The following is a 20,585-nucleotide window of genomic DNA, read 5'->3' on the forward strand; positions in this document are numbered from 1 at the left end:
AGGTGGATTTTCTGCACTGGCTTCTATGGGCTCTGCCTTACGCCATTGCTGTGTGGCCTGGCTGGGGCAAGGTGGGCTCCTGTGGACTGGATGGTGGCTGCAGCTGCCCCCGTGGGGCTCATACCAATGCCATGCCCATTCCGAGTAGGCATGTGTTTGCTCAGAACTGAGGAATCTGATTTTTGTTTCTGCTTTTTATTTGTTTCTCAGGGGGCTGGGGTGTCTGGATTCTCTGCTAAGTGCCAGTGACCTTGAACTTGAGTGGCTAGGTGCTGTGTAGGCAGAGTTGTCACAATGGAGGAGGGGACAGAGAAACGCATCCACCCCCACCAGGTTGCTCACCACAGGGCCAGCGCGCTCTTCCTGCTCTGGGACACTCACCGAGGCTGAATTCCACGTGGCTCCCGTGGCTAGGCAGATAGATGCAGCTAAGGGCTTAAAAATGTTTCTATCCCAAAAGGAGGTGAGAGGTTTCCAGGAAAGTTGCGCTGTGGCTTATCGAGTGCTTGTAGCTGTGGAGGCTTGTCCATGGGGTGTTTGTGGGGCCCTAGGAGACAGGACTTCCGGAGGCAGAGGAATGTTTCAGGGGCTAAGGAGAGACTCAGCAGACCTGGAGCCCGCTTAAGCTCATCTCTGGTGGCCTTGTGGGTCTTTCTCTTCCCTGTCCCTTTTCCAGTCCTGTCTGGCCACCCCAACTGGCGAAGGCCTCAGGCATGTGTTCTTGGATCGGGGTGGGGGTCTCAGGTCTGTGGCATGAGTGGGGGCGGGTAGGGCTGGCCGTGCATTCAGGGCCTGGCTGAACTACTGAGTGTCCAGCATGAGGCTGGGTCTCGCAGGCACGTGGCAGGTCATGGCCCTGTGCCATCTGCGGTTGGGGGCCACACAAGTGGAACTCCCTGGATCGCTGCCCTGGGGGTTGGCTGGCCTCTGGCTTGGCCATTTCTCGGGGCGGCTAGCACCCCTCTTCCTCCTGGCTGCTTCTCACAGGAAGGAGCGAATGCGTGCCGGCCACACGTGGGAGGGCAGGGTAGGATGCCTGTGGCTTTCCCAGGCGCCTCCTGGGGAGGAGCTGATGGGTGCTCAGGCCCCAGGGACTCTCTGGTTCCAAGGAGCCTCAAGGGCAGTGGGGCCTCGGGCTTGGGACCCAAGCCCTGCCTCTCTCCCTGGGGAGGCAGAGCAGGGTATGGGGTTGGGTACAGTGGTGGGTACTTGCTAGCCTCTTCTCGGCCTGGGGAAAGGCCAGGGCACCGAGCTGGGACCCCATATGGCCTGGCCTCAGAGTGCACCAGGCTTTGGCTGGCTAGTCCCCAAGGGCAGCCGCTCTCCAAGGGGACTGCGGGTTGAGCAACTTCTTTGCTGTTTATTTTTTCACGGGCTCAGGGCGGCGTCACACTTCAGGGAGAGCTGGATGGGGATGGCGGCCCCTTCCTGGGCCGAGAGGGGAGGAGGTGGCACAGGCCCATGTCCATGTCTGCCCGCAGAGCCAGCAGCCACCCCCGCCCAGCCAACACCTCCCCAGGCCCAAGGGGGACGCGGCCCTGAAGATGCGGGCGTCAGTGCGCATGACCCGGTACCTCGAGTCCTGGGGGGCGGCACGGCCCTTTGCACATCTCAACCACCGTGAGAGCGTGAGCAGTGGTGAGACCCACGTCCCCAACGGGCGGAGGCCTAAGGTAGGTCCCCCTCCCACCCAGAAAGCCAGGGATTGGGGCCCCAAGCCAGGAGCAGGAGAGTGAGTGCTGAAGATCTCCTGCCCTCTCAGCCTCACTGTCCCCATCTGTAAAATGGCCACAGCCTCTGCCCCACCTCCTGGGGCTGGAGAGGAAGCAAAGACATTTGGAGAATACTCCGGGATGGCCAGGAACATCCCTGTCCTCCTTGATGCCTGGACCACGCTCAGCTATAGTCAGGATGTCTGTGGCTTGGACGACCCCGACACCTTGTCCTGTGTATCAAGTGCCGGAGGGGCTGAACCTGGCCCAGCAGTGGCCTTCAGGGCCCAGTGTTCTGGGGAATGACTGTATCCTTTCCTCCCTTCCCTTTCAGAGCGTTCCCCAGCGCCACCGCCGGACCCCAGACAGGTGCGTGCCCTGCCCTCCTGGCCAAGTCCTGCTGCAGCCACCTCCTCCAAGCAGGCTGCCCTGAGCAGCCTCTGTCCAGTGGGCAGCTCCGCAAGGCCCAGCCCAGGACCTCTGTGAAGTTGGCCAGGGCTTGGGTCAAAGCATTTCTAGGAACCAGAGTTTCCTGGCCCCTGGCCCTTCTGCATGGCCACATGATGGAGCACCTGTTGTATGGTGCCCTGGCGGGGTCAGTGGAGTCGGTGGAAGGGAAGGAGATGACTGTGGGTGTCCTGGTCCCCATGCCAATCCCGGGGGTGTAGCCGAAGATGCCTTAGACTGGGGCTCGGGTCTGCCCTCTGCCTCTGGCTTGGCTGCTGGCCAGCTGGGCCATGCTGGGCCATGCTGGGTCCTCACTCGCCCTCTCTGGGCCTCAGTGGGACCCACCCATTCCTTCACCATCCCACCTGAGGTTCTGGGACCCCACTGGTGTCTACGTCCACACCCTCCTCTGGGAGAGTTGGAGGTGGTCGCTGTGCTGATGCAGTTGTGGGTATCTGATTCCAGAAGCATGTCCCCCAAGGGGCGGTCGGAGGATGACTCGTACGATGACGAGATGCTGTCAGCCATTGAGGGGCTCAGCTCCACGAGGTGAGGTCTGAGACCTCTGTCCACCCCCCTCTCCTCTCCCCCTCGGATAGGGGTCCCCTATATGGGCAGGCCCATCTCATACCCCATGCCTGGTGGCCCAGCCTTGTTCCTTCCCCCTGCCTGCTGCCACCTCCTGAGGGAATGGACCCCTTCCCAGCCCCCATCTCACCGCAGCTGCCCCCGCCCACAGGCCCTGCTGCTCCAAGTCCGATGACTTCTACACCTTTGGGTCCATCTTCCTGGAGAAGGGCTTTGAGCGCGAGGTGAGGGCCCCCAGCAGCCTCCTCCGCAGAGGGACGGGGTCTCCAGGCCTGGGGTAGGGTGGGGGACGCAGGTCATGGGGCAGCCTGCGTTCCCAAGACCGGCTAGGGGAGGGGCACTGAGAATCCACAGCTGCTCCTGGGCGGGGGGCAGGGGCGGGGCCAGTGCAGCACCAGCCTGGCTCTCTCCTGTCGGCTTCATTCCATGACCCAAATGCACCATCAGAGATTTGCCTCCATGGGTCTGCAAGACTTTTGCTCCGTCCAGTGCCAAAGCCTTAGCAGATCCTGGCATGGATGCCTCAGGCTGATGGCACCGGCCTTGCAATGAGACGAGAACCCAAAGCTCAGTTATCAGTGTCCTGTCTTGCTGCTATGAGCTTTTTGTACTGATAACGACCATTTCTTTACTGAGCGCCTTCTGGGTTCTGGCAGCATCCTCGGCACCCACATTATATAATTTAACCGTCACAACGGCCAGCCCAGGGGTGCTGCTATACCACTTCACAGAGAGGAAACTGGCTCTCAGAGGCTTCAGAGCCTGTCCCCAGCTTCAGGTGTGGCTCCCTGAGTTGGGGGCTTCCTAGGTGAGGTCACGAGGAAACCTGCTGGCCAAGTGACCTGGCAGGGTGTGGCCAGTGTGGCCAGGGCCGCCGAGCCTGCTTTCCTTCCCTGCAGCAGGAACCCTTCTGGGGCTGTGATCCTGCGATGGTGCCTGGGTGGGAGTGGGGGTGGGGGGCGGGATGGTCTCCCTACCTGCCAGCTTCTTGGTTTGAGGTGAGGACAGCCCCGGAAGCTCAGACTTGGCTCCTGTCCATGTACTTGGGGCCATGAGCTCTGCAGGGACCTTGGAAAGAGAGAGACGGGTGGTGTAGGGCAGGGGAAGGCATTGTCTTCAAACAGGAAAAAGCTGAGAATGGAAACAGGCGAAACTTACCAAGTGTAACATCACCTGGAACTGAAGGAGGGTGGGAAGGTTTTAATTATTTTAAAAATAGAGATGGGGACTCACTATGTTGCCCAGGCTGGTCTCAAACTACTGGGCTCAAGTGAACCTCCTTCCTCGGCTCCCAAAGTGCTGGGATTACAAGCGTGAGCCACTGTCCCAGCAGGGAGGTGTTTTTTTTAAAGCTGATTCACTGGAGGCAGGGTGGGCAAGTGGCACTGCTGGTGGCCACCCCTCACAGTCCCTGCTGCCCCCAGTACCGCCTGGCACCCATCCCCCGGGCCCGCCACGACTTTGCCTGCGCCAGCCTGATCTTCGTCTGCATCCTGCTCGTCCATGTCCTGCTCATGCCCAGGTCAGTTGCAGGGAGGGGTGTGGGGGTCCGGCCTGCTGGGATCCAGGCTGGAAGGTGACTATGAACCTGCAAGGAGCTGTGTGATTTGGGCTGGAAGGGGTCGGCTGCTGGGGTCCTAGCAACTGGACCAGGGGCTGTGGCAGCACACCTTGAGTTACCAACACTTCTTTTTAATAGAATGTGTGTTTTCTGCCACAGGCCTCCCTACTCCCTAACGTCTCTCTCCTCAGCCACCTGTCATATGTGTGGCCTGCATGCATTTTGGTTGACAGCCCTTGCCTTAGGTGTTTGGAGTGCTAGGAGGATAGACTCTGAAAACTGTAGGCGCCATCCTTTTTCTCTTATATATAGGGAAATTGGGGCACAGAGGATTAATGATTTATCCAAAACTCACTGAGATTCATGCTTCTGGCTCTAGGGCCCTGCTGGTGGGGTATAGGGATGAGGGTGAAGTCAGAGGGAAGGGGGATCTAAGGTCAGCTACTTGGTGCTTTCTAGAAGAGCAGTTAGGCCGAAGCATCGACCAGGATTGTGGTTTTGGCTATGCTTACTAAAGACATAATAGGGAGGCTGTGCGTGGTGACTCACGCCTGTAATCCCAGCACTTTGGGAGGCTGCGGGGCGAATCACTCGAGGTCAGGGGTTTGAGACCAGCCTGGCCAACATGGTGAAACCCCGTCTCTACCAAAAATACAAAAATTAGCTGGGCGTGGTGGCTGGCGCCTGTAATCCCAGCTACTCGGGAGGCTGAGGCAGGAGAATGGTGTGAACCTGGGAGGCGGAGGTTGCAGTGAGCCGAGATCATGCCACTGCACTCCAGCCTGGGTGACAGAGTGAGACTCCATCTCAAAAAAAAAAAAAAAAAAAAACGAAGAAAGATGTAATAGGGAATGCGTTTTTACAGTTTTTTCTGAGTCTAAAGGCTGCAGAGACATTGCTCATTTCTTATACACTTGGACCAAAAAGAGTGATATGGTCTTGACCTCAATCTTCATAATCTAGCTGGGCCCTGTGTATTGCCCATGGGGCAGCTGGGCCACAGTTTTCACAGGTCCCCTTTGCTGTGGGCAGAATACCAGGTAGGGTGGGGACAGGTGGCTGTGAGCCAGAGGATTGGTGGGGGCGGTGGTCCTGGGCAGAAGGCCCTAGGCAGAACTGAGGTTCTTCCCTCCTCTCCAGGACGGCGGCACTGGGTGTGTCCTTCGGGCTGGTGGCCTGTGTACTGGGGCTGGTGCTGGGCCTGTGCTTTGCCACCAAGTTCTCGGTAAGTGGGGAGCTCTGGCCCCGCGGGCCCTCCCTCCCTGCCTCAGGACACCTGCCTAGGAGCCCTCCCTGGTGAGCTTGGCTGGGCTGAGCCCCTGCTCTGGTCAAGGTTGGGTGCCCATCTCTCCTGCCTCGGGGACAATTTCCTGAGTGCCCTGGAGGCTTCTCCCGAGGATACCCCTCCCCAGGCTGCCAGCGACCAGCCCTCCTTGCCCAGGCTGTTGGCTCTGGGTGACTTGACCCTGTTACCCCACAGAGGTGCTGCCCAGCTCGGGGGACGCTCTGCACTATCTCTGAGAGGGTGGAGACACAGCCCCTGCTGAGGCTGACCCTGGCCGTCCTGACCATCGGCAGCCTGCTCACTGTGGCCATCATCAACCTGGTGGGTCCCGTGGTGGGGAGGCAGGCCTCCGGGGTAGAGGGAGACCTCCAGATTTGGGACGCCTACAATGTGGCCTTAAAAGCTGCCTCTGGTTGTCCTCTCCCCCGAGCTCAGCAGGTGGATGTGGGGGGTTCCCCTTTGTACACTCAGGGCTCCTCACCTTTGGGTTCTCAAATGCGGACTTTGGGGGCCCAGAGAGCTTGTGTGGCCAGCTCCAGGAGGATGTGATGCCTTGAGCCACCACATCCTGACATCCCATTCATTCTTCACGGCCCTTCTGAGACTCAGTTTCCCCTCTCAGGGATGAACCCTTGCTCCTCTGCTGGGGCTCAGAGGCTCAGTGCTGCAGAAAGCAGCCTGCGGGACACTTGTCCACCTCTCTCCCAGACCCCGCATCCTGGGCTAGGGCCTCTCCCTCACCTCTCTGCCCCGGACCCTGGGTTTTTGGAATGTGTTCCTGTGACCACCTCCCTCAGGGTCACCTGGGGAGGCTGAAAATGTTGGTCCCGGCCCCTCCCCCTGGCTGCTGCCGCTCTGGGGGTGTCTGCACCCTCATCTCCTAGCCCCTCTGCCCTCTGAACCTGACGGCTGCTGTGGGGAGTCGGCACGGCGGCTTGAGCCGTGCTCAGAGCTGATCCCAACGTGAAACCTCAGGCTGCTGTGATACTCATGGTTGCCTGGGGCCCACCTTGCATGGCTTGGGCAGGTTCCAGCGTTCTTGTCCCTGGACTGATGGGGACCTGTCTCCTCTACAGCCCCTGATGCCTTTCCAAGTTCCAGAGCTGCCTGTTGGCAATGAGACAGGCCTACTGGCCGCGAGCAGCAAGACAAGAGCCCTGTGTGAGCCCCTCCCGGTGAGTGCGCCGGGCCCGGCTCCGTGGCCTCATTCAGAGTGGGGCTGCTGCTGCCAGAGGTGTAGTTTGGACCCTCAAAGCATGGGTGCTGACCCCTGAGAGCACAGCATGTGGAGGCTGAGAACAGCCTCTCCTGCAGAGCTGGGAAAGCAGGGTCCCATGGGCCCAGCTGGCCTCTGGCCCAAGGGAGTGAGGAGTCCTGGCCTTGGCAGGCTTGGTCTAGGCTGTGTGGGTAGGCAGGGAGTGAGGGGAGCATCTGGCCTTGTGCGGGTCTCTGGTCAGGGCACTTCCTCTCTGACAGGCCTGTCACTATTTTATACACGAGTATGCACAGCTCAGGGAGGGGCTTCATTAGGTGATGGCGCCAGGGCAGGCCCAGACAGGCTGATGGCAGAGGTCAAGGTCTCTGCCTGGAGGGCCTTGCAGACAGCAGACTCTGCAGCTTCAGAGGCTGGCAGTGCAGTGAGCTGGGCTCTAAAAGGCAGAAAGGTTCTGGGACAAGGGACAGCATGGGAAAAAGCCGAGGCGTGTGTTGGGAGCAGTGGGGTTTTGGGTGGGTTGTCTCCTGGAGAGGGAGTGGGGAGAACTGGGAGATGGAGCCGGGGGCAGGCTTGATCCAGACTGGGAGGTGCAGGAATGCCGGGGTGTGAAGAGCGTGGTCTTTATTCTGGGGGCTGGGGAGCCACAGCACAATCTTGAGCAGGGCAGAGGTCCTTTGGGAGGGTAAGCTCACAAAAACTCAGGGAGGCAGCTTGGATGCATGCACGCTCCGGCCTTGACCTTGACTGTGGTCTGTTGTATCCACAGCACCTGCATACTGTTTTTTCCCGTTTAAATGAGCTCACTTCATAAGAAATAAAACTACAGTGAAAACAACACTGGACACTCTTAGGTCTCATTGTTTTTTGTTGAGAAGGGAGGTGGTAAGGCAAGAGCGTGATGCTGAGGTGCAGGGAGTGGGGCTCTGTGGTATGTGCTGGGCTGGAGGCGAGAGTACGTGGTGGGGTGGCCCTGTCCTGAGTGACACCCTGCCCCCTCAGTACTACACCTGCAGCTGTGTCCTGGGCTTCATCGCCTGCTCGGTCTTCCTGAGGATGAGCCTGGAGCCAAAGGTTGTGCTGCTGACAGTGGCCCTGGTGGCCTACCTGGTGCTCTTCAACCTCTCCCCATGCTGGCAGTGGGACTGCTGCGGCCAAGGCCTGGGCAACCTCACCAAGCCCAACGGCACCACCAGGTGGGGTCCCGCCCGTCCCCGTCCCCATCCCCATGGTGGCCTGTTCATCTGGTGCCTGCCTGCTCGCACCAAGGGGCTTCTGTGTTCATGGGGAGTGGGCACCTTGCAGGGCGGGGCTGGCAGATGGTGTCCAGCGCTCAGAGCCGAGGAATTCACTGGCAGGTTCTTTAGGAAGTCCCTAGTCTGACAGAGGCCACCGGGTCATCCTGTTTCCAGGCCAGTCTAGTGGTGGGGAGGGAAGGAGGCTGCAGCTCTAGCTCTGTGCCTCTCAAGGCCACATCCTGGGTCTCGAGTTCTGGAAGGAGCAGTTGCTTCCATCTCTTCCTGGACAGGTGGTGATACCTGAGGCTGGCAGGGCTGGGGTGTGTGGTTCTAGGGGTTCTGGGTCCCAAGTGGATTAAGGAGCGGACCTGGCCCCCCTAAACAAAAAAGCTGGAAGCCTGGGACCCAGAACAGAACCTGCTCCTGTGGGTCTGCCCCGCACCTGCAAAATCCTTATGCCACCCATCCACCCCACCCCGCCTGCCACTGACCCTGGCTCACCAGTTCTGGGCTCCCTTCAGGCCCTCATCACAGCTGATTCTGGTCATTCAGGGGTGAGATCAGAGGTCTTCCCCACAAGGGCTCCCCCATCTCCCTGCCCACCTCTCCCCTCCCCCCTTTATAATACCCCAAAGTTGTCTTGTTTTCTACCCACCCCATTAGAATCAATTTTCCCCTTTCCCCTGGGTGTGCGTGGCACCTGGAGAGCATGACTCAGTGGGTTGGAGTGGTGAGTGCTGGGAGTGACTTGGGCCTCCCTTCGCATTCAGTGGCACCCCTAGCTGTTCCTGGAAGGACCTGAAGACCATGACCAATTTCTACCTGGTCCTGTTCTACATCACCCTGCTTACACTCTCCAGACAGGTAAGGAGGCTGGCCCCCCCCCCCCCCCCAAGCTCTGCCCACTTTTCCTCACCTCCATCTGGAGATGGGGTGGGGTGGGGTGGGCTCAGGTGGAGTAGCAGAAAAGACTAGAGTCCTGCCAGGAAAGCACTGGTCCCCTGGCCAGAGGCTCCAAGGACGCCAGGGACAGACAGACCTGGCTAGGAGATGCACAGCAGCACGGCTCCCACTTGCCTGTGGACGGGGCGCTTATGTTGCTGCCGTTTGCAGATTGACTATTACTGCCGCTTGGACTGCCTATGGAAGAAGAAGTTCAAGAAGGAGCACGAGGAGTTTGAGACCATGGAGAACGTGAACCGCCTTCTTCTGGAGAACGTCCTGCCAGCCCACGTGGCTGCCCACTTTATCGGTGACAAGTTAAACGAGGTGTGCTGAGAAGGGGCTGGGGCGGGGGCAGGGAGGCGGACGGTCCAGGCGCAGTCCGTAGGGTGAAGGTGTGGAGCTGGAGTGCATGCTGAGCTTGGCTTCCTCAGGTCCTGGCCTCACCGGGATGCCCAGGCGACAATGTATGGCATCAGCTGTGAGAGCATGGGCCTGGGGTCAGGGACCTGGGCTCAAGTGTGGTCGTGAACAAGGCACCTTGCTTTCCCAGGCCTTGGTCTTCACCTCTGTAAAATGGGCTGACAGCCCTTCCCCACAGGCTTGTGGCGAGGATGAAATGTGTGTTCAGGGGTTTGTGATCTGGACATTCTGTGTTGATGAAAATGTCTGTACTTCTACTAGTTATGTGTAGCAAGTTTTCTAGATAGGAAACGGAGGCCCAGTGAGAATGAAGACCTCCCGTTACCCTCCACTACTGCAGAGGTTCTCACCCCATGTGTACATGGAAACACCCATGGTGCTTCTGTGAGCAAAAACCAACCTGAGCCTGACCCTCCCTGGCCACCCAATTCTTAATCACCCGGTAACAGCCACCAGATGAAACTCATGCAGCCCGCCCCCCTCCCCACTCCCCGAAAGCTGGGCTGGGCAGTTCAGCAGTGCCATCTGCTCCTGAGGCCTTGCCACTCTTCCTGTCCCCTCAAGAGGTGAAGTGGTGTAAGGTCCGGTTTCTTCCCATCCAGGACTGGTACCATCAGTCCTATGACTGCGTCTGTGTCATGTTTGCCTCCGTGCCGGACTTCAAAGTGTTCTACACAGAGTGCGATGTCAACAAAGAAGGGCTGGAGTGCCTACGCCTGCTCAATGAGATCATTGCCGACTTCGACGAGGTACAGCCTCTAGCCCAGCCTTGCGCAGCAGCCCCCACCCATGCTGGAGAGGGAAGGGCGGTGGCACCTGCCATCCTAAAACCCAATTTAAAAATGTGACACAGAGCTGGGCAAGGTGGTCTATAATCCCAGCACTTTGGGAGGTCAAGGTGGGTGGATCACTTGAGGCTAGGAGTTCGAGACCAGCCTGGCCAACATGGCGAAACCCTGTCTCTACTGAAAATACAAAAAATTACAAGCTGGGCTTGGGGCGCACACCTGTAATCCCAGCTACTTGGGAGGCTGAGGCAGGAGAATCGCTTGAACCTGGGAGGCGGTTGCAGTGAGCTGGGATCACGCCACTGCACTACAGCCTGGGCAACAGTACACAACTCTGTCTCAAACAACAACAACAACAACAAAAAAAAAACGACGTGGCCCGCCTGGGGGGAACATACATTACACAGAATATAAAGGTACACATTTCTTTTTCATTCTGTTTTATGCAGCAAATAATTCGTTGGCATCTTCTCTGTGATGGGCAGCTTGCTAAGATTAGACTCAGGCCCCTTAGCTTCATTTCCAACTAAGCCCACGCTATCAACCAAGCCAAACAGAGGAAATCAGTTTGGGTTGAATTCTTTGCTGGAGACAAAGAATCTACATTCCTGTGTAGATAATGCTGTGTTTGCTCTGTGCAGACACAGATGGAAGGGAAGAGGGAGACAGTGTGGGGACGGAGACAACAGGAAGAGCAGGAGCCGCCAAGGGCCATGTCCTCACCATGCTTAGTCATGCGCTCAGCTGGCAGGGCAGCCATGAGACGTGTGTGCGAGAGGCGGCGATGGGTGGAGGGAACCCCACACCCTTCCTGAGAAGCAGGGGCAGCCTGGCTGCGGCTATGGAGTGGCGGCTGCTTCACCGCTTCCTTCTTGCCTGCAGCTCCTACTGAAGCCCAAGTTCAGCGGCGTGGAGAAGATCAAGACCATCGGCAGCACGTACATGGCAGCTGCAGGGCTCAGCGTCGCCTCAGGGCACGAGAACCAGGTACTCAAGCCCAAGAGGTGAAATTCAGCTGACTGTCCTCACTTAAAGGTGACCTGTCACCTTACTTAAAGGGTGTGCCCTTATCTCGTCCTGGGGGAGGGGCACAGGTACTTGTAGGGCTCAGCCAGGATTTTAGTGGTGGGGATCCTCAACAAGAGTGGCGCGCCAGGGCCCACTAGGTCTGGGGGCTCTGGAGATGCAAGGATCTGACCCACAGCCTGTCCCGCAGGAGCTGGAGCGGCAGCATGCCCACATTGGTGTCATGGTGGAGTTCAGCATCGCCCTGATGAGTAAGCTGGACGGCATCAACAGGCACTCCTTCAACTCCTTCCGCCTCCGCGTCGGTGAGCCCGGGTGATGGAGCGGGGTGGGGAGCCCCTGCCTCTAGGCCAGTCCACCCAGTCTGTGTGGCACAGCTGCACCTCGCCATCTATTATGAAAGGTTTTAGAAATCCCTCTGATCTGACAAGCTCAGCAGTTGGACAATTATTCTGATGTTTTGCATATAGTTAGCATATAGTTACCATTGAGAGTTTTAATAATACGTAACTACAGAAAATGGAGAACCAAAATTATTGTCTGTAAACAGGTGACCTTAAAATATAGAGAAGGAAGCAAAGTTACTAAACCTAAATAGTTGCGGGCCTGCGCTCAAAGCCAGGCCTTTGTTAATACTTTTAACAAAGTATTCTTTGTTAAAAGAGAGATTAGCAGATACAAGTGTTAACATCAAACCCAGACTTCTGAGTCTGAAAAAGAGCTGGCCGGGGAATGCCCTCCTCATACCCCAAGCCCGACTGCAACGCAGTGACTCTGGGAAGCAACCCAGCCTTCACTCTAGTTGTTTTGTCCCCGCATCCTGTGCTGGGGTATGGATTCTCTGGCCTCCTCTAAGGGCAGAAGCTTGAGGCTTTGCCTGCACGCTTGGGTAACTGTAAACATCATCTTCAGGCATAAACCATGGGCCTGTGATTGCTGGAGTGATTGGGGCCCGAAAACCTCAGTATGACATCTGGGGAAACACTGTCAATGTGGCCAGCCGAATGGAAAGCACTGGAGAACTTGGGAAAATCCAGGTAAAGACCTATTGGGGAAGCAGTTGACTAAGGGGAAAAGATCTTCCCCAGAGGTGAGGGGACTTGGACTTAAGAGCTGCTGTCTCACCCAGCAGCCATGGTTCTAGCTATCACACTCTCCAGGGAAGGCAGACTGCATGCCTGGGCAGTCTCTATCTGTCCCTACCATGACAGGTGTTCTTCCCGCCTCTGAAGACAACAGGTCTCTCTTCCTTTTCAGGTTACCGAGGAGACCTGCACCATCCTCCAGGGCCTCGGGTACTCTTGTGAATGCCGTGGCCTGATCAACGTCAAAGGCAAAGGCGAGCTGAGGACTTACTTTGTCTGTACGGACACTGCCAAGTTTCAGGGGCTGGGGCTGAACTGAGGGCTCCTGCTGGATTCCGAAAAGGCCGGGAAGCCAGTCTCCTTCCCTGAAGCAAGCCCAGGAGAAGACTCTCCGCCCCACGCCAATCCCAAAGGCATGCAGATGGCTGTGCATGTTGGCTTCTTTGGACCTGCACTGGAGGATTTCTCAGACACATGCACCAGATTCTGGCTCGAAGCAGCCACTGAGCCATAATGCGCAGGGGAGGCCAGAAGCTCTGTGCCTGGTCTGTAACAGTTTCCAGGCCAGCTGGAGAATGTTCACTGGTTCGGGGCTGACTTTGAGATCTTTGTTCCCTGAGGTGCCAGGCAGGCAACTTTAGCACATGATGAAAACAGACTTCCACCTCAGTGGCCTGTGGGCACGCACAAGTGAGGTCTGTTTTTCTAGACACCAAGGGGGAGTAAGCTGAGCTGTCTAGCACGGATTGGAGACTCCCTCTCCCTGGTGGGCCTGGCAATGACAGCATTTCTCACAGAGGCATTCTGGTAAATGAAGCTGAAAGGGGTGTTTTACATCTGTAAACGGTTTCAAACAGGTAGAGAGAAAAACACCACAATTAACACTGTTACTTTTTGCCTTGTCTGGCATGTTTGTTTTAAATGAATACATTAATGGGGTTTTTATCCTTTTGAATGACTTTTCAGACACTAGACATAAATCTCTTCCCTCCAGTGTATGCTCTGCCTTTTTAACCACTGACATGTAAGGAGGACTACTGTCTAGCATCAGCTTATGGGGTCAGCTGGCTGTGGGGATAGAGTCCTGAGGAATGTGGTCACAGCAAGAAGGCGGGGAGCAGCAGAGCCTTGCCTTTGAATGAGGCAGCTTGTGAGGCAAGCATTCTGGAGAGAGGTGCTTTGAAAGTAAGGTGCGGCCTTTCACCTCTTCCTTGATTACTCACACATCTTTGCGTTCTCCCCTGCCGTCCTTCAACTGTATCTTACTTTTCTTACCAGAAAGGAATGGAGTCTGTTTAGAGACAACTTGGACAACCTGTGAGTGCATCTCTTCTTTCCTTTAGTCTTCACAGCTAACTCTGGAGAGCTTCAAAACTAGAAGGATCTACTCCGCATGGGTGCATGCAGAGGCTCCTGGATCTGGGAAGCCCGCCCCCTCACAAATGCTGAGCCGTTCTTGCTCTGAAACTGCGTGAGTCAAGGCAAATGCAAAAAGCCAGGTTTTGGGGATGTGTCTTACTGTGCTTCAACTTCCCAAGGAATTGAAAGTCAACCTAACTGTAACAACAGGGTGAGAAATGACCAAACTGCCCGTGACTTTTTCTGAATGGACTTCATAACCGGAAGACTTAACCGGTGGCCTCATCACCAGAGCATCGCCAGGATTTCTAATGCACTCAGTTTCCCTACATAGCAGGGATTCTTAGCTAGGTGTCCCCATGAACCCCGTAAAGTTCTACACAAAGTCTTGCATACAGGAGCCTTTACAAGATGATTATACAGGGTTGCAGATTGGGTGACTGACCAGACTTGTTGGGGTCCTGGGATGAGTTGCCCCGGGCTGCAAATTAAGAGTACAGCTAAGTGCGGGGGTGGCGGTGGAGGGAACGAAAATTGAACCTGTCTGCCTGTGCTGTGTCGTGTGGCTTTATCAGCCCGAGGAAGGGCAGGTGTATTCTAATTTGCACAAAGGTGCTGGGTAGACTAGTGGCAGCTCTCATGTGCTGCACATAAGTGGAATCAGTATGAATAGAAGAACTTGCTGTATAAAGGAATTTCATGGCAACAATGCTGGTAAGGGCAATTAGCCTCGCTTAAGTTGCCTTTTTTACACACCAAAACTTTTTACATGAAGGGCTGGTTTCACATGAATACTATACTGAAATCTGTGCTCTCAAGATCTAGCAGTGACCAGGGCTGCCCGGCGGGGGCTCTCCTGGCAAGTCAGGAAGGTTTCTGTTGCTAATATAACATAGAAACACATTAGTGCACTGGGCCTCTCTGAGGTCAGCATATTTGTACTCTTGGAATATTTGTTTTTTTCTTCAGTAACAACAGAAACCCCAGTTGGGAGTTTAACAAATAACTGACTACCACTCACTCATGCATTTTTATTTCCAATTAAAGCAAAGCACTGTGCTGTGCTCAGATAATAATAGTTTGTAAGTAAAAGTTTTTAGTTTTCAGTGTTCAGGTTATAGAATATAACTGACCATAAAAATTACCTGCAGGTATTTTCTTTTTATGAACTTGTTTTTAAATTACCAAGTAATTACTGGTGTCATTTTGTTTTATGACAGACACACGTATCTAACAAACAAACAAACAGTGACCTTCTCCATGGGTCAAGGACTTCCTTACAATTTCTCCTGAGTTAACTTTTGTGAAAATAATACCTAAGGTTTTCTGGCTTATTGAGGAAATTTCCTAACAAACAAACAAACAAACAAACAGAAGAGAAGATCATTAACCACTGTATACTTTGTGTATATAATAGGTCAGTGTAAAGAAATATGATTTGAGGTGGTGCATGCAAGTAACTAGGGTTTATTCTATATAATGAATATTTATAGATCTGTAACATTTGTTTCAAAATGCTGTTTCATTTTTATAAAGTACCAGTGTTTAGCTGCTTTTTATACATTAAATTAGCAATTTGAAAAACTCAAATATCTGAAGGTATTTTATTTTCGTGGTCCTCATGAACTCACTAGAGATTAAAAGTAGACTCAAACAACTTGAAAATTTGACTCTTTTAGCATAAGATTTTAAGTCTTTTGAGGGAATTAATTTTCCTTTACCCTATTTGTTCTTCCTAAATACTAATTAATTTTCAAAGTCAGGAAAATAATAGAAATCAAATGGCTTCCTGCCTGGGTGATTTATAGAAGGATTGTATAAGGGCCTTCAAACTTAATTTGTTCACTGAACAAGGCTATCTATCTATCTATCTCCATCCTGATTTTTTTCCCTTGTGTATAACAGGTTCTATACCGATTCAGCAAAATCACCATTTATCTCAGCTTGCTGATAAAAGGGGGCCATGAATCTTGTGGTCTCCTACTTAGAGTTCAACTCCTTGGGTACTTGACCTTTGTATTTCAGATAAACAGTAAGTAAAGTAGAAATGTCACCTTTTGGTAATCTGGTAATTCCCTGATCTATTCAAGGATGACTTAGTTTATCTTATTTGGCTTATTACTTTGCTATAGTACTAAGTAACTCCTCTTTCTTTAAAAAACGGAAAAAACCAAAAAAGAACACTAGCCATGTGACAGTGCTATAAAACTCCCAGTGTGCTTTTGTCAGGGGTGGGTGGGAGGTGCCTAATTACCCATACAAGGGCATCATTCCCACTGGGTATGCAGGGGCAGAACCACAGTAGTAAATTCTAAAATTATTTCAAGTATGTTCGTATAACGGAAAATCTCACTGGATGGGGCCGTTTTAAGAACGCTTCTTAGTGATGATCCTGTCTGTGGGACATAAGGAAGAAGCATTGGAAGGCACTATTTTGAAAGAATGCTGCACAGGTATGGCAACAGCCCCAAGCACATTCCTTCCTCACGAGTCCCAGGTCCAGCTTTATTACCTAATACAAGTCCAACCTCTGGAACATCCAAATTCGCTGTTCCAAAGTTTAATTAAAAACACAATTTACAAATATTTAATATCTTCTGAAAAGCATTTCTAAGTTAAGAATGAAAAAGTATGTACATAATATATAATCAAATACCAGGCAGCCTCAACTTCCACCAGGTCCACACTCAGCAACATCCGTCTTTTTAGGTTCTTCAGTGTCTGAAAGAAAAAGACATCACTTAATTCAACATTGTTTTTACCTTTTAATTAAAAAGGGGACATGAAAGTCAAGCTGCCATCCAGAAGCATAACTGCTGAGAGCCCTTCTTCACCACATCCAAGGCTGAAGACTACGCGCATTATCAGGTGATCATTGTGGCTCTTCTGCACACAGGAAATCTTTATTAATTCTTTAGACAAGATAAAAAGAAAACTAAGAGTAGTTTATACATTAAAAACAGATAAATGTTCCTTTTACAGTTGACCCTTCTTATCCATGGGTTCCACATCTGCAGATTCAACCAACTGCCAATTAAAAATATTTGGGGAAAAAACCCAATTAAAAAAATACAACAAACAATGAAAAAAATATAAAAAATACAGTCTATTAACTACATTCTATGAAGTATATAAGTAGAGATGATTTGAAGTATACTGGAGGTTGTGTGTAGGGTATAGGCAAATACCTTTTATGTTAGGGACTTGAGCATCTACAGATTTTGCTATCTTTGTGGGGTAAATACCAAATCCGAGGTCCTGATACCAATCTCGGGCAGACACTGAGGGATGACTATAGTCACCATAGCTTTCTGCTTTCCCAGAGAAAACAGGGCACGTACCTTCTGTCAAATCCACAAAGTTGTTTTCCATGACGGGGGAAGGAATGGAAATCCCCATTGCTTTTCGAACTCCATACGTGCTTACGATATCACCTGGAGTTACTTGCTGTGCAAGTTCTTTAAGATTATTGGTCACTTGTTCAGCTAAAAAGAAAAACAAAGTTCCAGATACTAAAGCATGGTTCCTTTAGATAGAGGCATCCCAAAGAACAGTAAATGTACACATGCAAAGAAAACAAAACAAAAAAACTGTCCCTGGGATTCACATCAGCATTACTCTATAGTGGCATCACCACTGTACTCAAGAAGTTTTTTCTTTGAAGCATCCCGTGACTCTCCTCTTATGGGAGGCAAAACATACCAAGATGCATTTCTCTGTATGAGGGACCCAAGAGACAGATCATGTTCGGAGGGGGTCTGGTGCTCAAACGTTCATTCTGGGCTTCCTGGAGTTCCCTGAGCAATCTGGTGGTCTCATCAAGTTTCTTCTGGAATATTTCAGCTTCTGTGTGGTAAGAAAACAGACACACTTCTGTTTGATCTTGTGCAGTAAACCGAATCCTAGGCTCTAGGGCTTTGCTAATTATTGGTTAGCCTTCTCCCTTCAAAAGAGTAATCCGCTTGAAATGACATCAACACGCCATACCCATTCATTTAACTTGGTAAGCCAAGATCTTCCTGTGGTGAATGGCTATGTTAATCTGTACTTATGAGACATGAAATCTTGACTGCCTACATCATGCAGTGTTTCAATCAAACCCTCTGGAGACACTTACCTTCAGAGTCAAAAACTTCAACTGGAACGCCAAAATTTGTTACTGCTTTCAGCGCTATGAGCCTGTCTTGAGTACTGGAGTCCAAACGCCCTGGTGGCTCTACTTCTGTAATCTGCTTCAAAAGGAAAAACAGGCAATTACTGGCGCTTGCTAAGCCACAGCAGTGTTAACTAGAAATTACTCAGATGGCATGTATTTACAGGCAAAGTTATTCTACCTATTTACTATGGAGTCCTAATTTTGATGCTTACAGAAAATGAATTTCCAGAACACCCTTTTAAAATGCTATTCCCAAATCTTGGCAAAAACAGGTATTCAATAAATCCATACTTCTGTGAAATGTAATGATGTATCTTATACAATTTATATCATTTGTTTAGTATGGCAACTATTCTAAAGATGAAGTAATGAGAGCCTTGTTGTTGCTTAAACTGTGAAGAGCTTTTGGTGATGACAATGCCTTGTGTTTTCGAGATTCAAAGACTATTTCATATTTCAGTCCATCTAGTCCGTATACTTGCATTCCTATTGATACACTTCCCGGGTCTTCTCCAGGCCTCCAAACTAGGCTGTCAGTATTGCATGAGAGAAACAAAATCTTAAAAAGGATGGAGTTGGCCTGGCGCAGTGGCTCATGCCTGTAATCCCAGGACTTCGGGAGGCCGAGGTGGGCGGATCACCTGACATTAGGAGTTTGAAACCAGCCTGGCCAACATAGTGAAACCCTGTCTCTACTAAAAATACAAAAAAAAAATTTAGCTGGGCATGGTGGCATGCACCTGTAATCACAGCTACTCGGGAGGCAGAGGCAAGAGAACTGCTTGAACCCAGGAGGCGGAGGTTGTAGTGAGCCGAGATTGTGCCACTGCACTCCAGCCTGGGCAACAGAGCGGGACTCCATCTCAAAAAAAAAAAAAAAAAAAAAAAAAAAAAGATGGAGTTTTTATTTTCAGAATCATTAAGACTCAGGGGTTTCCATAACCTCAACATTACTTTTTAGGAATAGATCAACCCAGATATTAAGCAATCAAAAGCTAATGGTTCCATTTATACTATGGTATGGCTCTCCAACTCTAACTCCATTGATCCACCTGATTTCTCTACCTACATATGGGCTAAAAACTTGTGGGGGAGAAACTGTATAATTGTGCAACTTGGCACTGATATGCATTTATGGTTTGCCATTTCAGCTAGGCCCTCACAACTCTACTCACTAACCTTTTTCCTTCTTACCCAATGGGCCTTCCCATTCTCAAGACTTCTCTTACTCCCCTTATTTTCCATTTAAATATTTCTTGTAAAGTGTAAAATAAAATCACCTCCATTTCTTTTGCTGTGTCAAGTGTCCTAGTATGGCCTTCATCTTCAGGCAATGACTATAAGGATGAAGAAAAACAGCTTTTTAGGAAAACACATGAAGGCGAATATCAAGGAAAAGAGAAAACTGTCAGGAGTTTCTTGGCAAGAGAAAATGAATACAAATATGGACTACTGGAATATAATTTTTCAGGCCAAAATGACTAAATATAATTATTAGCATTTTGAGAGGATTCTGTGAGCTGGGGTACTTATTACTGGTGATGTTATTTCCATGCCTGATCAAAAGCTATATACATGTTTAAGAAGGTATTTGGTAAATAACTTATAAATATGTAAATAAATGGTATCTGTTTTTATCAGAAAAATCCCTGACGAGAAGACAGGAAGGAGTTCTAGGGATTACTGTGCATGAACACAGCAATATTCTCAGATAGCAGAGGATTACTGTAAAATAATCAAATGCTACAGAGAATGTGAAAGCTTCCCAATCTTGCTCTTCAGAGCTAATGCACCCAGGAACAAGAGACAAATATATCATGGACATCAATCAATGATGTCATCTTTCTTTGAAAGGTTGTGAGTTATTTAACCAATTCCCAATTTCTAAAAATTATAAACAATGTAACCTTATATGTAACTTTTGTATTTTTTCTAGAATAAATTCTGAGAAGAGGAACTGCTATATTGAAGGACAAAGACACTTGACATTTTGAAACACATTGCCATATTCACCAAATGAAAAATATTCAATTTTCGTTAGACTATTAATTCATTCAGATTAATTGATGAGGATATGGTAAAAAAATATGTATTTTTTAAATTGATGTAAAATTTCATTTTTTAGGTCATGTGATGAAAGCAGTCCAAGTGCGGATATTTTACAGCAGTCATCGTTGGGCCTGACCGAGGCACTAACCTCAGCTCTGCTGACAGGTCACCCAGCAACCATATGTGCAGTTGTGAGCAGGGTACCAGGCACTACAGTCACAGTCACCATTAAGAGTTAGACCTCCAAAAGACACAGGGTTCCTCTAACTATTGTGACAGGAACGTTCTGGAGATCAACTCTCTTCTGTATCAGTAGGAACATTTTCTGGTTCTAATCCTTAAGCCAAAACTCTGAATGATTCCAGATTACCAACTATCTCCAACTGAACTAGAGATAGCTTACAAATGTTAATAAAATAGCAATGAGGAAGCTTTTTACTTTTTAACTTGAGGTTCCTCCCGATGTGCTATTACTGCACGAGGAAAAGCCATTCCCTATCATTTTAGCCAACTTAGTTTCAGGCCAGTGAGCAAAACTTTCCTTTTTTGTTAGAGGACACAATGCCCACTGACTTCTGAGTTGTAAACCCCATTTTTGAGTCCTACATTCCCAAGATGAGGAGATAAGGATAACGCTCAGGCCCTCACAGATCCTGGTAGCTAAATTACTCCTTTCCGTTTATTGTCCACCCGTGGCCTCCAGCCGGGCTGGG

General features: G+C 51.1%; 2 protein-coding genes across 45 annotated transcripts in view, besides 3 other annotated features; one reads left to right on the plus strand and one right to left on the minus strand.

Moving 5' to 3' along the window:
- Nucleotides 1-15,257, plus strand: part of ADCY7 (adenylate cyclase 7) — a 73,437-nt gene extending 58,180 nt beyond the window's left edge. For 12 of the 33 annotated variants that reach the window (XM_047433551.1, XM_047433552.1, XM_011522837.4 and 9 more), the window contains 16 exons: nt 1,482-1,673; nt 2,047-2,081; nt 2,625-2,708; nt 2,899-2,971; nt 4,172-4,269; nt 5,449-5,533; nt 5,789-5,914; nt 6,670-6,768; nt 7,809-8,002; nt 8,815-8,908; nt 9,158-9,313; nt 10,012-10,158; nt 11,080-11,184; nt 11,414-11,528; nt 12,136-12,260; nt 12,463-15,257. In XM_047433551.1, the coding sequence (XP_047289507.1) occupies nt 1,482-1,673; nt 2,047-2,081; nt 2,625-2,708; nt 2,899-2,971; nt 4,172-4,269; nt 5,449-5,533; nt 5,789-5,914; nt 6,670-6,768; nt 7,809-8,002; nt 8,815-8,908; nt 9,158-9,313; nt 10,012-10,158; nt 11,080-11,184; nt 11,414-11,528; nt 12,136-12,260; nt 12,463-12,627 (1,893 nt within the window). In that variant the 3' untranslated portion in view covers nt 12,628-15,257. Of the gene's footprint in view, nt 1-1,481; nt 1,674-2,046; nt 2,082-2,624; nt 2,709-2,898; nt 2,972-4,155; nt 4,270-5,448; nt 5,534-5,788; nt 5,915-6,669; nt 6,769-7,575; nt 7,652-7,808; nt 8,003-8,814; nt 8,909-9,157; nt 9,314-10,011; nt 10,159-11,079; nt 11,185-11,413; nt 11,529-12,135; nt 12,261-12,462 lie in introns of those variants that run through there. The other 21 variants (XM_047433560.1, XM_047433563.1, XM_047433556.1 and 18 more) reach the window with 4 other exon arrangements.
- Nucleotides 6,960-7,254: an enhancer, noted in NCBI's record as "tiled region #2137; HepG2 Activating DNase matched - State 4:PromP". NCBI's record gives its function as "activates a minimal TATA promoter and a strong SV40 promoter by Sharpr-MPRA in HepG2 cells {active_cell/tissue: HepG2}" and the evidence as "EXISTENCE:reporter gene assay evidence [ECO:0000049][PMID:27701403]".
- Nucleotides 10,554-11,753: an enhancer, noted in NCBI's record as "MED14-independent group 3 enhancer chr16:50347343-50348542 (GRCh37/hg19 assembly coordinates)". NCBI's record gives its function as "activates an origin of replication core promoter dependent on BRD2, BRD4, P300/CBP and CDK7 cofactors, and independent of MED14, by STARR-seq in HCT116 cells {active_cell/tissue: HCT116}" and the evidence as "EXISTENCE:reporter gene assay evidence [ECO:0000049][PMID:35650434]".
- Nucleotides 13,079-20,585, minus strand: part of BRD7 (bromodomain containing 7) — a 53,032-nt gene continuing 45,525 nt past the window's right edge. For 3 of the 12 annotated variants that reach the window (XM_011523048.3, XM_047434006.1, XM_011523050.4), the window contains 5 exons: nt 19,104-19,160; nt 17,785-17,899; nt 17,370-17,513; nt 17,009-17,152; nt 13,079-16,388 (listed from right to left, as the gene is read on the minus strand). In XM_011523048.3, coding sequence (XP_011521350.1) covers nt 16,333-16,388; nt 17,009-17,152; nt 17,370-17,513; nt 17,785-17,899; nt 19,104-19,160 — 516 coding nt within the window. In that variant the 3' untranslated portion in view covers nt 13,079-16,332. Of the gene's footprint in view, nt 16,389-17,008; nt 17,153-17,369; nt 17,514-17,784; nt 17,900-19,103; nt 19,161-20,585 lie in introns of those variants that run through there. The other 9 variants (NM_001438174.1, NM_001173984.4, NM_001438173.1 and 6 more) reach the window with 5 other exon arrangements.
- Nucleotides 16,216-17,415: an enhancer, noted in NCBI's record as "CDK7 strongly-dependent group 2 enhancer chr16:50353005-50354204 (GRCh37/hg19 assembly coordinates)". NCBI's record gives its function as "activates an origin of replication core promoter dependent on BRD2, BRD4, P300/CBP, MED14 and CDK7 cofactors, with strong dependence on CDK7, by STARR-seq in HCT116 cells {active_cell/tissue: HCT116}" and the evidence as "EXISTENCE:reporter gene assay evidence [ECO:0000049][PMID:35650434]".

Source organism: Homo sapiens, chromosome 16 (assembly GCF_000001405.40).
Source record: "Homo sapiens chromosome 16, GRCh38.p14 Primary Assembly".
Classification (NCBI taxonomy): domain Eukaryota; kingdom Metazoa; phylum Chordata; class Mammalia; order Primates; family Hominidae; genus Homo; species Homo sapiens.